Source organism: Homo sapiens, chromosome 1 (assembly GCF_000001405.40).
Source record: "Homo sapiens chromosome 1, GRCh38.p14 Primary Assembly".
Lineage (NCBI taxonomy): Eukaryota > Metazoa > Chordata > Mammalia > Primates > Hominidae > Homo > Homo sapiens.
In genome coordinates, this window is record NC_000001.11 from 180,038,346 (window position 1) to 180,051,968 (window position 13,623).

General features: G+C 36.9%; 1 protein-coding gene across 27 annotated transcripts in view; it reads left to right on the forward strand.

Annotated features, from left to right (window-relative positions):
- The window catches only part of CEP350 (centrosomal protein 350), a 160,066-nt gene that overhangs the window by 83,536 nt on the left and 62,907 nt on the right, over window positions 1–13,623 (forward strand). For all 27 annotated transcript variants that reach the window (NM_014810.5, XM_047435442.1, XM_047435459.1 and 24 more), the window contains 5 exons: window positions 2,793–2,903; window positions 3,317–3,457; window positions 4,711–4,847; window positions 5,706–5,828; window positions 10,191–10,360. In NM_014810.5, the coding sequence (NP_055625.4) occupies window positions 2,793–2,903; window positions 3,317–3,457; window positions 4,711–4,847; window positions 5,706–5,828; window positions 10,191–10,360 (682 nt within the window). The remainder of the gene's footprint in view (window positions 1–2,792; window positions 2,904–3,316; window positions 3,458–4,710; window positions 4,848–5,705; window positions 5,829–10,190; window positions 10,361–13,623) is intronic.

Below are 13,623 nucleotides of genomic sequence, written 5' to 3' on the forward strand. Positions count from 1 at the left end.
TATGAACATTTTTAAACAACTCTGTGCATACTACATATGTTTTCATTTTTCTTGTATAAGTACCTAGGAGTGGAATTGCTTGGGTCAAGTATATGAAACTTTATAAGAAACTGCCATACAGTTTTCCAGAATAGTTGTAACATTTTACACTCTTGTAATATATAGGAGAATGCCAGTTGTCTGTATCCCTGCTATCATTTGGTATTATCAGTCTTTTATTTCAGTCATTCTATTGAGTATGAAGTAGTATCTCATTGTGGTTGTAATTTGCGTTTCTCTTATTACTGATGAGACTGATTGTCTTTTTGTGTATTTATTGAGCATTCTTTTGTGAATATCTGTTCAAATCTTTTACCCCCTTCATTATGGGATTGTCTTTTTAATTATTGATTTTATAGGAGTTCTTCATATATTCTGGAAACAAGTCCTTTTCAGATGTATTGGAAATATTGTATTCCAGGTCTTGGCTTATCTTTTCACTTTTTAAACTGTGTCTTTTGAGGAATAGAAGTTTTAAATTTTGATGAAATCCAGTTTTAATTTCTTTCTTTTGTGGTAGAACCTTTAATTTTCTAAGAAATCTTTGGGCCGACTGTGGTGGCTCACACCTGTTATCCCAGGACTTTCTGGGAGGCCAAGGCAGGCAGCTCACTTAAGCTTAGGAGTTCCAAGACCAGCTGGGGCAACATGGCGAAATCCCGTCTCTACTATGAATACAAAAATTAGCCATCCACCGTGGCGTATGCCTGTAGTCCCAGCTACTTGCGGCGGGTTGGGCGTGGTGGGGGGGTGGGGGGTGGTGGTAGCGGTTGGCTAAGGCAGGAGAATCGCTTGAGTCTGGGAGGCAGAGGTTGCAGTAAGCCAAGATTGTGCCATTGGACTCCAGAGTGAAACCCTGTCTCAAAAAAAAAAGGAAGAAAGGAAGGAAGGGAGGGAGGGAGGGAGGGGAGGGAGGGGAGGGAGGAGAGGGATAGGAGGGAACGGAAAGAAAGGAATCCTACCCTAAGATACTAAGATATCTTAACATTCTCTTACGTTTTTTTCCAAAAGCTTTATAATTTTATCTTTCATATTTAAGTGTGTAATCCTTCTCAAGTTAATTTTTGGATTTGATGTGAGGAAGAGAGTCAAAGTTTCTTTTTCTCTAGTATGGATATTCAATTGTTCCAGCACCATTTTATTAAAAAGACTTAAATTACCTTGGTGCCTTTATCAATGATTAAGTGATCAATTATGTGTAGATCTATTTCTAGACTCATTTTCCATTAATCTATTCATCTATCTGTAATGTCAGTACCATATTGTCTTTATTACTATGGCTTTTTAGTGAGTTTTGAAATCAAGACATAATTCCTCCAACTTTGTTTCTTTTTTTCAAAGATGATTTTGGCTATTCTAGGTTTTTTGCATTTCCGTGTAACTTTTAGAATCAGTTTGTTAGTTTCAACAACAACAACAACAAAAAGCCTGGTAGGATTTTCATTAGAATGGTATTGAATCTGTAGGTTAGTCAGTCTGGGGAGAATTCACATCTTAACAGTGTTGCCTTTTCTAATTCATGAACATGATATATTTTTCTATTTATTTAAATCTTTGAATATTTCTCTCATTAGTATTTCATTGTAGAGGTCTTATACATTTTAAAATTTATTCCCAAATGTTTTATGGTTTTTGATGCTAAAATTTTTTTTTTTCAGTTTCCTTTTCCATTTGTTCTTCCCAAAAGACCCGTCAGACAGTTCTTGGTGTGGGACTGTTCCCATACTTTGCAGAGATCCCATCATTCCTGCCCTCCCCCCGCCACTGCCCGACTAAATAACAGTAGTGTTGTCCAGTCATTGTGACAGCAGAAACTCTGGACATTTCCAGATGTTGCCTGGTAGAGGGTGGGGAGGGACTAATGCCAACTTTGTTGATAGTCATTTTATTGAGGAAATGACTCCATTGTAGTGGAGGGCCATCCTGACCTTGAAATCTGAGTCAGCACTGAGGTTTTCTGCCACTTTAGAAATACATTATAATTCTGGGTTTCCAGATTTGGGCAGAGCATTACCACAGCCTTACATACAGCCTTACCACCATTTTTTGTTTTCTTTTGTTTTGTTCTAATTAAAAAAAAAATAGAGGTGGGGGGGTCTCACTCTGTTGACCAGGCTGATCTTGAACTCCTGGCCTCAAGTGATCCTCCCATCTTGGCCTCCCAAAGTGCTGGGATTGCAGACATGAGCCATTGTGCCCAGCCCTTACCACCTTTTGAAAACCTCTATTATTTAGCAGTATTTCAAAGGAGATGAAAAAAAAAATATATATATATATTTATAGATAACATTGTGTGGGATAGTGGTAAGAAAGGGTCCTGGTGACAAGGAAACCTTATATGGGGACATCATTTTTTAATGAAACTACTACTTCAAAGTCAAAATGAAAGAATCATAAAATTGTGAGTTTGTGAGGCATTATTTTTATTTTTACACATAGGACATTTTTTATCCCTTCCAAAAAGTTGGGTGCTATAGCCTTTGCTTTCTAAATGGCTTTTTGGTATTAATTCTTAGTCCTGTATGCCCTGGAAATTTTTTATATTACTACATTATTTGGCATATGGGAGGTGATCATTAAATATTTTGATAAATGGTAAGTGGCTGTTGACTATTATTTTTACTATCTTTCCTTTTGGTTCTAATTAGTTGCTTCAAATGATTTGTATTAGTAAGATAGCATTGTGTGTGTTATAGTCACTGTGTTAAAATAGTTTCGTATCTGAGAATTAACATTTGACCATTATTTTGAAGGCACAACAGCAACGCCATGAAAGAGACTTGGCCCTCTTGAAACTAAAGGCTGAACAAGAGGCTCTGGAGAGTCAGAGACAATTAGAAGAAACCCGAAACAAAGCAGCTCAGGTAACTTATTTTGCAGCAGGTTCTTGTTTTTTAAACCTAAATTTGTATCTTAGAAATTACTTTAGCGTTCTTTTAATTATATAGGAGAAAAAAGTGTATATATAAATAATAAAGTTTTAGTACTTTTTATGGGATAATGCCATGTAATTCGATTTTTGTTACAACCTTGTGAAATAAATTGTCAAGACTCATTTCCAGTTTAGGGAAGTGGCAACTGAGGTACGTTGTATTTATTTATCCACAGATACAGTAACTTGTGAACAGTAGAGTTAAGACTTAAACCATGAAATCCAGATTGTAGTAAAGTGTTTTTTACTATGAATAAGACATGAAATAAATTTATAAATTAAAATTAATTCAGGAGGAGGGGAGATTAAAACATAACTTCTTTTTTAAACCCCTTTTATTTAAAGGTCCATGCAGAATCATTACAGCAGGTGGTTCAATCACAACGGGAAGTAACTGAAGTCCTGCAGGAAGCAACGTGTAAAATAGCAGCTCAGCAGTCAGAAACTGCTCGCCTCACCACAGACGCAGCACGTCAAATCTGTGAGGTAGGTGCCACTGAGAACACTTCTCTTTTTACTTCTTTTTAGTCAATCTGAGTAACTTTGATCTTCAGTAATGGGTTTCTAATATCTTAGTAAATGCATACTTTGAATTAGTGACTTTTAGTGGGGGCCATACCCTATTGAAATAAGAGGCACCATTGATTGGAGTGTGTTGTACATGTGATTGAATGTTATAGAGGCAGAAAAAAGATGAAGAGCTCTAAATTTCTGCCCTCTGGTAAGCTTTTTAGAAAAATATCAACTTTATTGATGTATAATTTATAAACAATAAAATGTACCTATTTTAAGTATGCAATTTGGTGAGTTTTCTCTCACACACACACACACACACACACACACACACACACATCTCCCTATAACCATCACCACAATCCAGAAATAGCATATTTCCTCATGTCTCTTTGCAACCAGTCCCTAATCTCAGTCCTGGGGAACCACTGATCTGCTTTGGGTGAAGATGTTTCATTTTTACCCAGAATGATATTAGTTACTGTCTTTTCTTCTATAACGTGGGTATAGCCCAAAGTAGTTTTATTGCTGTCTCTACATAGGATATCACAATTCATAATTGATACAGTTTCACTTTATTTTAGCAGTTATAATTTTTTTAAACCAAAAGTTAGTACTATTTGTAAAATGACTTAGTTATTGGAAATCCATGAATGTACTATATGTTGGGTACTGTGGAGTTGTACATTTTAGTATAAAACTGAGTCTCCTTTCTCAAGAAAATTAAAATGTAGACAACATCAACAAAGATTTCAAAACACTTTAAGTCATTAGTAAAAGGAATAGCTCAAAGTAGTGCTTGAACAAATACTGAATGGATGGTACATGCAGCACTTGCAGTAGTGGTTAAGAATAGGGAAAATGTACTTGACCTGTTGGTCAGCAAAGAGTTAGAAAAGAAGTAGTAATTAAATTGATTCTTGAAGGAAGATTTAATTTTTGGCTTATTACTGCTTATGTTATGCTTTAAGGTTTTCTGTCTAATTCATAGATTGTTATAGCTGGGTGAAACCGTAGAAATCATGTAGTCTAACTCTGTTTTTATAAGATGAAGCTGTTGAGACTTAAAGAGGCTAAATGACTTGTCCACAGTATTTCATCTATTAGTGGCAGAATTTGCTTGTTCTCAAGTCAGTGATCTTTCTTTCCAAGACACTATGCTCCTTCTCAGTTCTCTGACCTTACGTTTTAATACATTTGCCTTTCTTGTGTGTGTTCATGTTTAGATGGCAGAGTTGACTAGAACTCATATCTCAGATGCTGTCGTGGCTTCAGGAGCTCCCCTTGCAATACTGTATGACCACCAACGGCAGCACCTTCCAGACTTTGTGAAACAGCTGAGGACCAGAACTGAAACAGATAGGTTAATATTCATTCAGTCAGCAAATATATAATGACTGTCTGTTAGGTTAATATTCATTCAGCAAATATGTAATGAGTATTTGTTGTTATAGGCATTATTCTTGGTTGAGAATACAGTTATGGGCATAGTCTAGTAGGGAAGATAAACATTACTCAAATATTCAGTTAAGTGAATGAATACTTATACACTGATTTAAGTGTTATGAAAGAAGGGAACACATGTCTCAGAGATAATGTAACACAGGAATTTGAATAGCCTGGGGGTGCCAGCAGGTCAGAGAAGGCTTTCCTGAGGAAATAAAGCTTGTGGTGCAATCTAATGGATGAGGAGTTAGTAATGTAAAGGAGGTAAAGAATAGCTAGATCAAAGGCCCTGAAGGAAGAAGGAACATAGCATATTTAAGAAAAGAAATAAAGACCATTGTGGCTGGAGGCAGAGAGCAAAGAAAATGGTATGAGATGATGCAGGGATCAGATCAAGGTATAGGACCTTGCAGACTTAGGATTTTGGAGTTTATTCTAGGAGCAATGAAGTCATTAAAGAGATTATTTTTGGCGGGACTGGGTGACATTACCATATTTGTGTGTGTGTGTGTGTGTGTGTGTGTGTGTGTTTTCTTAATCATATTTTGACTGTCTCTAATTCATAGATTTTAAGTCTCTGTTTACATTCATTGATACTAGGAGTGATTTGTGTTTACTTCCTTAGTAAAACAGAAGATATTCTTTAATGTGTTGTAAGTTATTTTATAATATCTATTTGTTCAAGATTTTATCTCATATTACTATTAAGCAATACTTAAAATCTTTCTGTTATTAGAGACTTTGAATGTTTAATCAGTTTTTATTTTATTTGTAGGAAAAGTCCATCTGTTTCACTCTCTCAGAGTAAAGAAGGGACCCTTGACTCAAAGCATCAGAAGTATTCTGCTTCATATGATAGTTATTCTGAGTCTTCAGGATACAAGAATCATGATAGAAGGTGAAGACAATTTGATTTCTTTGTCAGTACAGTTTAGTAGATTGTGATAAATGGCTTAAACATTGCTTTCTTTGATTTCTTAATCTTGTTTATTTAAATAGAACAGTGTGTGCCCTTCAAAGTGCTGGCTTCCCTAATTAGCCAATTTACAAAATAGTTGGTCCATGTAATAATGTAACTACTGTTCCTTGAGAACCTACATTGTACAAGCATTGTATAAATTGTTCTTCCTGCATTTAATATTCACAGCAGCCTTCCAAGGCAGATGGTATTATCCTTATAGGTTAGAAAACTGAGGCTCATGGAGATGTTACTATGCAGCCATAAAAAATGATGAGTTCCTGTCCTTTGTAGGGACATGGATGAAACTGGAAACCATCATTCTCAGCAAACTATCACAAGGACAAAAAACCAAACACCGCATGTTCTCACTCATAGGTGGGAATTGAACAATGAGAACACATGGACACAGGAAGGGAAACATCACACTCCGGGGACTGTTGTGGGGTGGGGGGAGGGGGGAGGGATAGCATTAGGAGATATACCTAATGCTAAATGACGAGTTAATGGGTGCAGCACACCAACATGGCACATGTATACATATGTAACAAACCTGCACATTGTGCACATGTACCCTAAAACTTAAAGTATAATAATAATAAAATTTAAAAAAAAAGAATAATTAAACATAACTCCAAAAATAAAATAATTGTTGATTATAGGAAAAAAAAAAAGAAACCCATTCAAGGTCACATAAATAATGATACATCAAGGAATTGCACCTTAATTTATCTGCCTTCAAAGGCTGTGTTTATTGCACATTTCCTTGCTGACATTCATATTTCTTGATGTTACAAATTTTTATTGTTATAAAAAATATTGAATAGGCCGGGCACAGTGACTCACGCCTGTGATTCCAGCACTTTGGGAGGCCGAGGTGGGAAGATCACCTGAGGTTAGGAGTTCAAGACCAGCCTGGCCAACATGGCAAAGCCCCATCTCTACTAAAAAAACAAAAATTAGCCATGCGTGGTGGCGTGTGCCCATAATCCCAGCTACTCAGGAGGCTGAGGCATGAGAATCTCTTGAACTAGGGAGGCAGAGGTTGCAGCGAGCCAAGATCGCACCACTGCACTCCAGCCTGGGTGACAGAGTGAGACTCCATCTCAAAAGAAAAAAAAAATTGAATAGCTGTCATTGGTAGTTGGTGTGATATGAATGGCTATAGCTTTCAATTATGGTTCCATCTTGGGATTAGAAGATTTTAGAGGCTACTTTCCAGCATTTTTACAGTTAACATACTGACATTGTCAAGTATAGTAAAACCCCAATTTAAAAAATTAAATCATGAAACTAAAAGACATGAAAATGTGGGAAAAGTACCAAAAGTTATTGAGTAGCTATTATGTCTCTGAAACTATCTGATGTTCATTTAACCTTTACTGACACCTTCACTGAAACTTCATGTAAACCATCATCTGGATTACTATGGTGAACTCCTAATACTTGTCCTCATCCTCTAATCTTTCTCCACTCCATTAGCCACATGGTAACCAGAGTGATTTTTGTAAAATTTCTAGCCAATTTGGTTATTCACCTATTTGAAATCTTCAGTATCCCTCAGAATATTCAAATTAAGGTCTAAATTATTTAGCCTGGCATGAAAACTTTCTTTATAATTGAGCCTTTGGTCCATCTCTAGCCCCATCTCTTGGCATTTCCTCTCTTACTATACCCCACTCATTCTAACTATTTCCAGTTCTCTAGAAGAACCATGCTCTCTGTCTTCTGTGCCATTGCATATGATATACCTTCTTTCTAGACCATCCCACATCTCATTTCATTTAGTTTACTTTTACTTACCTTTCAAGAATCAGTGCTATCCCGTCTGCTTTAGCTCTCACCTAAGTGTTCTCCTACAGCACTGTGAGTATAGCTGTGATAGTCTTGACCACCCTATGTGTACATGTTTCTTTGTTAGTCAGTTACATTCTAGACTAGAAGCTCTTTGAGGGCTTCGTTTTCATCACCCCAGAAAGAAACTCAGTAACCATTAGCAGTTACTCCCTATACCCTCCTCTGGCAACCACTAATCTGTTTCCTATCTCCGTTCTCTATGGATTTGCCTATTCTGGATTTTTTATATAAATGGCATCATTACAGTATGTGGCCCTTTGTAACTGACTTCTTTCACTTAGCATGATGTTTTCAAGTTTCATGCATGTTGTAGCATGTATCACTACTTTGTTTATATGGCCAAATTATATTCTATTGCCTGGATATCCCACATTTTATTTATCCATTCATCAGTTGGTGGACATTTGGGTTGTTTCCACTTTTTAACTATTATAAGTAATGCTGTGAACATTCACATATAACCTTTTGTGTGGATATGTTTTCATTTCTCTTGAGTATATATTTAGGAATGGAATTGCTGGGTCATGTATGGTAGCTCTATGTTTAAATTTTTGAAGAATTGCAAAACTATTTTCCAAAGTAACTGCAGCATTTTATACTATTTTCCCACCACGTAAAATTTTTCTACAGTCCTCACCAATGCTTGTTGTTTTTTTTGTTATAGCCATCTTAGGGGGGACCATGCATACTTGTATCACCAGAACTTAGCAAAGTACCTAGCACACAGTAGGCAATCTACTACAAGTTTATTGAGTGAATGATTAGCATATAACTACTAATTGGTAGAATTGGGATTCAACCCCATGTCCTTCTGACTTGAAAGTCCCTACTGTGTGCTGCATTACATCTTTTACCTTATTGCTTTATTAGAAGATTTATGTTTTCAAAAACTTATTAAACCAAACAATTGCATTATATTCTGATAAGTACTGTCATAGAAATATACACAAAAAAACAGTATGAACACAGGGACAGAAGTGACCAAAGCTTCCTTGAGAGTTGGGGTGGGATCCATGGAGTTTCTTAGAAATAACACTTGAACTGATTCTTGAATTCCATAGGTCGTTAGGCAGACACAGCAGCAAGGGCATTTTGGAAGAGGAAATAAGCATGTGCTGAGGATCCTAAGTATATTAACCTGGCTTGTGTAATGAATGAATAAACCAAGAAATGTAAGGAGGAGAAAGCTTGGGGGAATATACGTTTCGTTTGTTGGCTGAGGAATAGCCAAAATCAGAAGTTCACATGGCATTTCAATACTTGAAGCTTAAAATCAAGGGAAGGGCAAAGATAATGATACAAATTTGAGGCTCACTCTAAATGATAGTAGTTGAAGTTATGGTTAAGATTGCCCAAGGAGAATATGTAATATAAAAGAGAAAGAGGGCCAGCATGGTGGCTTACATCTGTAATCCCAGCACTTTGGGAGACCGAGGCAGGTGGATCATCTGAGGTTAGGAGTTCAAGATCAGCCTGGCCAACATAGCGAAGCCCCATCTCTACTAAAAATACAAAAAAAAAATTAGCCAGGTGTTGTGGCACATGCCTGTAATCCTAGCTACTCGGGAGGCTGAGGCAGGAGAATCTCTTGAATCCAGGAAGTGGAGGTTGCAGTGAACCAAATTGTGCCACTGCACTCCAGCCTGGGCGACAGAATGAAACTCCTCAAAAAAAAAAAAAAAAAAAAAGAAAAGAAAAGGACCAAAACAGAACCATCAATTTTAAGGAAAGACAGAAAAATTTAAAGCAAATGAAAGAAACAAGGAAAGCTTGTTAGAGAGATGGGAAAAGCAGGTGAGAGTAAAATCATAGGATATAAGAAGGGAGGGCTCTTTTATTTAACATTTAATTTTGACATGATTTCAAGCTTATAGAAAAGTTGCAAGAATAATAGAAAGTCCTCAAATATCTTTCATCCAGATTATTCTAACATTTTACTACATTTTATTTAGCAAGTAGAGCTTTTAAAGAAGGAGATATGGTCAACATCTAATATTGCAAAGCAATAAATTATGTATTGGATTTGGCAATTCAAAGTATAGATTAAGCTTATTTAGAACAGTTTTAGTAGAGCAGTTGGGGTGGAAGCAGATTGTGATAAATCGTGATGTTAATGAAAAGTAAAGAAGTGGAAACAGTGAGTAGTAGCTCCCTTTCCCAGAAGTTTGATTTTGAAATGAAAGGAAAAAAGGGAGTGATAACCTAACAACACTGCCTATTATTATTATTTAAAAGTGAAACCTTCCTCTCTCCTACTCATCTTTCTCATCTTTTCCAATATATTCTCAGACTTATGTTACTTAGCTTTTTCTGTTTTATATTACATCTTTCTTCATTTTTATCTTGACTATAAAGTACAGTCATTTGGCCAAATAAGTTTACTTTGAAGCTATAATCCTTATTTTGTTAATTTTGTTGTTGTTGTTTCCATGTATCCATAAAAAGAAGTAGCAGTGGTAGCAGCCGCCAAGAAAGTCCTTCAGTTCCATCTTGTAAGGAAAATGAGAAGAAACTTAATGGTGAAAAGATAGAGAGTTCCATTGATGAACAGGTTCAGACTGCTGCAGATGATTCTCTACGAAGTGATAGTGTTCCATCTCTTCCTGATGAAAAAGGTAACTTTCTTTGCAAATAAATGTGTAATCATTTGTTCAGAAACCAGAGGAAAGGTGATCCTTGTTATAAAGTGGCAAATAAGCTGGATGTGGTGGCTCATGCCAGTAATTCCAGCACTTTGGGAGGCTGAGCTGGGAGAATTGCTTGAGCCTAGGAGTTTGAAACCAGCCAGGGAAACATAGGGAGACCTCTGTCGCTACAAAAAAATTAAAAATTAGCCAGGCTTGGTGGCACAGCCTATGGTCCTAGTACGTGGGAGGCTAAGATGGGAGGATCACTTTAGCCTAGGATATCAAGTCTACAGTGAGCTATGATTGAGACATAGCACTGCAGCTTTGGCGACAGAGCAAGAACCTGTCTCAAAAAAAAATAAGTAAATAAAGTGGCAAACAACTTGACTGAAACTGTGTTCCAGTGTTTTGGAATGTAGACATTAAAAGTGATGTATTTGGATATTTAGCTGAGGAGATTTCTAACTTTATCTCATTAATATTTACTAAACTTTATCTCAATAATATAGTGTTTCTAATTAAAGCATATTTAATTATAGATAATATTTGTAAGCCTTAGAAGGAAACACAGTAACGATATGTGACTTGTTTGTGCCATATCTCAAGTCTTTACCATGGTGCCTGTCTTCCAATAACAGTGAATAAATAATTGTCAAGTGACTATTTTAAAATATCATGAACAGTGACTTTAATTTCTTTAAACAATATTGAATTACTTGCCCTGTGCTTTACTTGACTAGCAGAAATACAAAAACAAAAAAGTATTACTTGGACTGCTGCTGCTTCTGGCCATGATGGAACAACAGGGACCAGACTTACTTACACCTTTTTTTTTTTTTTTTTTTGAGACAGAGTCTTGTTCTGTCACCAGGCTGGGGTGCAGTGGCGTGATCTCAGCTCACTGCAACCTCCGCCTCCTGGGTTCAAGTGATTCTCCTGCCTCAGCCTCCTGAGTAGCTGGGATTACAGGCACGCACCACAACACCTGGCTAATTTTTGTATTTTTAGTAGAGACAGGGTTTCACCGTGTTGGTCAGGCTGATCTCGAACTCCTGACCTCGTGATCCGCCTGCCTTGGCCTCCCAAAGTGCTGGGATTACAGGTGTGAGCAACTGCGCCTGGCCTACTTACCCTCTTAAAGCAAGTAAAATATCAGGCAAAACATGAAATAACTATTTTTAAGACAGTGGGCCTCAGGCATTGAATTGTGTTGATTCATGAGAGACTGGAAACAAATGAATGCTACAGTTCTACCAGTTTACTGCCTAGAGAGTTTCCAGACTGCAGAGCATGGAGCCCAGTGGTCTTCTTGAGTTGAGGAAATGGAGTTAGGAATCTAAAGAAGCCAAGACAGCTAGAATTCACAGGGCAGCCACTATCCAAAGAAACCAAACCCTTAACCTCGTATGTAGAAGAAAACATAAATCTAGGTGACGTTCGGTTTCATGATGACTTCTTAGGTACGTAACACCTCAAGGTGTGATCTGTGAAAGAAAAAATTGATGAATTGTGTTTTATCAGAATTTTAAAACTTCTATTTTGTGAAAGACATTGTGAAGAGAATGAAAAGCCACAGATTGGGAGAAAATATTTGCAGCTCACATATTTGATAAAGGATTTATATCTAGAATATATAAAGAACTCTTAAAACTCAATAATAGAAGGCTGGGTGCAGTGGCTTATACCTGAAATCCCAGCACTTTGGGAGGCTGAGGCAGGCAGATCACCTGAGGTCAGGAGTTCAAGACCAGCCTGGCCAACATGGTGAAACCCCATCTCTACTAAAAATACAAAAATTATCTGGGCATGGTGGTATGCGCCTGTAGTCCCAGCTACTCAGGAGGCTGAAGCAGGAGAATTGCTTGAACCCGGGAGGTGGAGGTTGCAGGGAGCCGAGATGGTGCCACTGCACTCCAACCTGGGCAACGAGAGTGAGATTCTGTCTCCAAAAAAACCAAAAAAAAAAAAAAAAACAAAAAAACCTCAATAATAGGAAAAACAACTCAATTTTACAAATGTACGGAAGATCTGAACAGATACTTCATTGAAGAAAATATGCAGATGGCACATAGACACAGGAAAAAGTCTTCAACATCGTATATCATTAGAGAAATTAAAATTAAAATTACAAGATGCCATAACACACTTATTAGAATGGCTATCAGAAAAACAGACAATAACAAATTGGTAACAAGGATGCAGAGCAACAGGAACTTGCATACATTGCTGGTGAGAATGGAAAATTATATGGTCACTGTGAAAGATAGTGTCTTGTAAGACTTAACCATACAATCCAGCAGTCAAATGCCTGGATATTTACCAAGTGATTTGAAAACTTATGTCTACATAACAACCTATATACTGATGTTCATAGCAGCGTATTCATAATTGCTAAGAACTAGAAGCAACCAAGATGTCCTTTACTAGGGGAATGGATAAACAAACTGGTACATCCATACAACGAAATACTATTCAGCTGTTAAAAGGAATAATCTTTTGATTCATGTAGCAACATGAACGAATTTTACAGTCCTCCGCTCTACCAGACCTCCGCTCTACCAGATGAACTGTTGAAGGGAGCACACATGGACGAATTTTAAATGAATTTTACTAAGTGAAAAAGCAGGCCCCAAAAGTCTGTGTATTATAATATGATTCAATTTATATGACAGTCTGTAAAAGCCACAACTAAAGAGTTGGAAAACAATTGGTTTTTAGGCATTGGGGGAAGAGGAAGTAGTTGACTGCAAAGAGGATGCACGGAGCAACGTTTAGGATGAAGGAACTGTTACATAGAGTAGTTGTTCTGTGTGTATGTATGTTCTGTATGATGCTATGTATTTGTCAAAACCTTGAAACTGTGTATCACAATGAGTAAATTTTAATATCTGTGAACTAATCATGCATACACACACATTAATCAGGATATTGGGAGTTCCCAAAATGGAACGCAGCCTGCAATAAATGGATCTAACTGTGTTACAGATACATGGCATAACAACATTGAAGGGGTTGGGGGAAAGAGCTGATCTAAGTAAGTAACTTTGGAAAATGGTGTCTTGAGTGGAAACTATTAATATAAGCCTAATACAAAAGGAACGGTACATAAACCTATACTCTAATTGGATAATAGTTTTTCACAGGGGTACAGGTTAACAGTTCTTTACATATATATTGGGTTTGAACAAATAAGTAAACGAGTGTTGGATGGTCAGAGCCAGGTTTCTCAGTGTTGGAAGGGAAGATACACA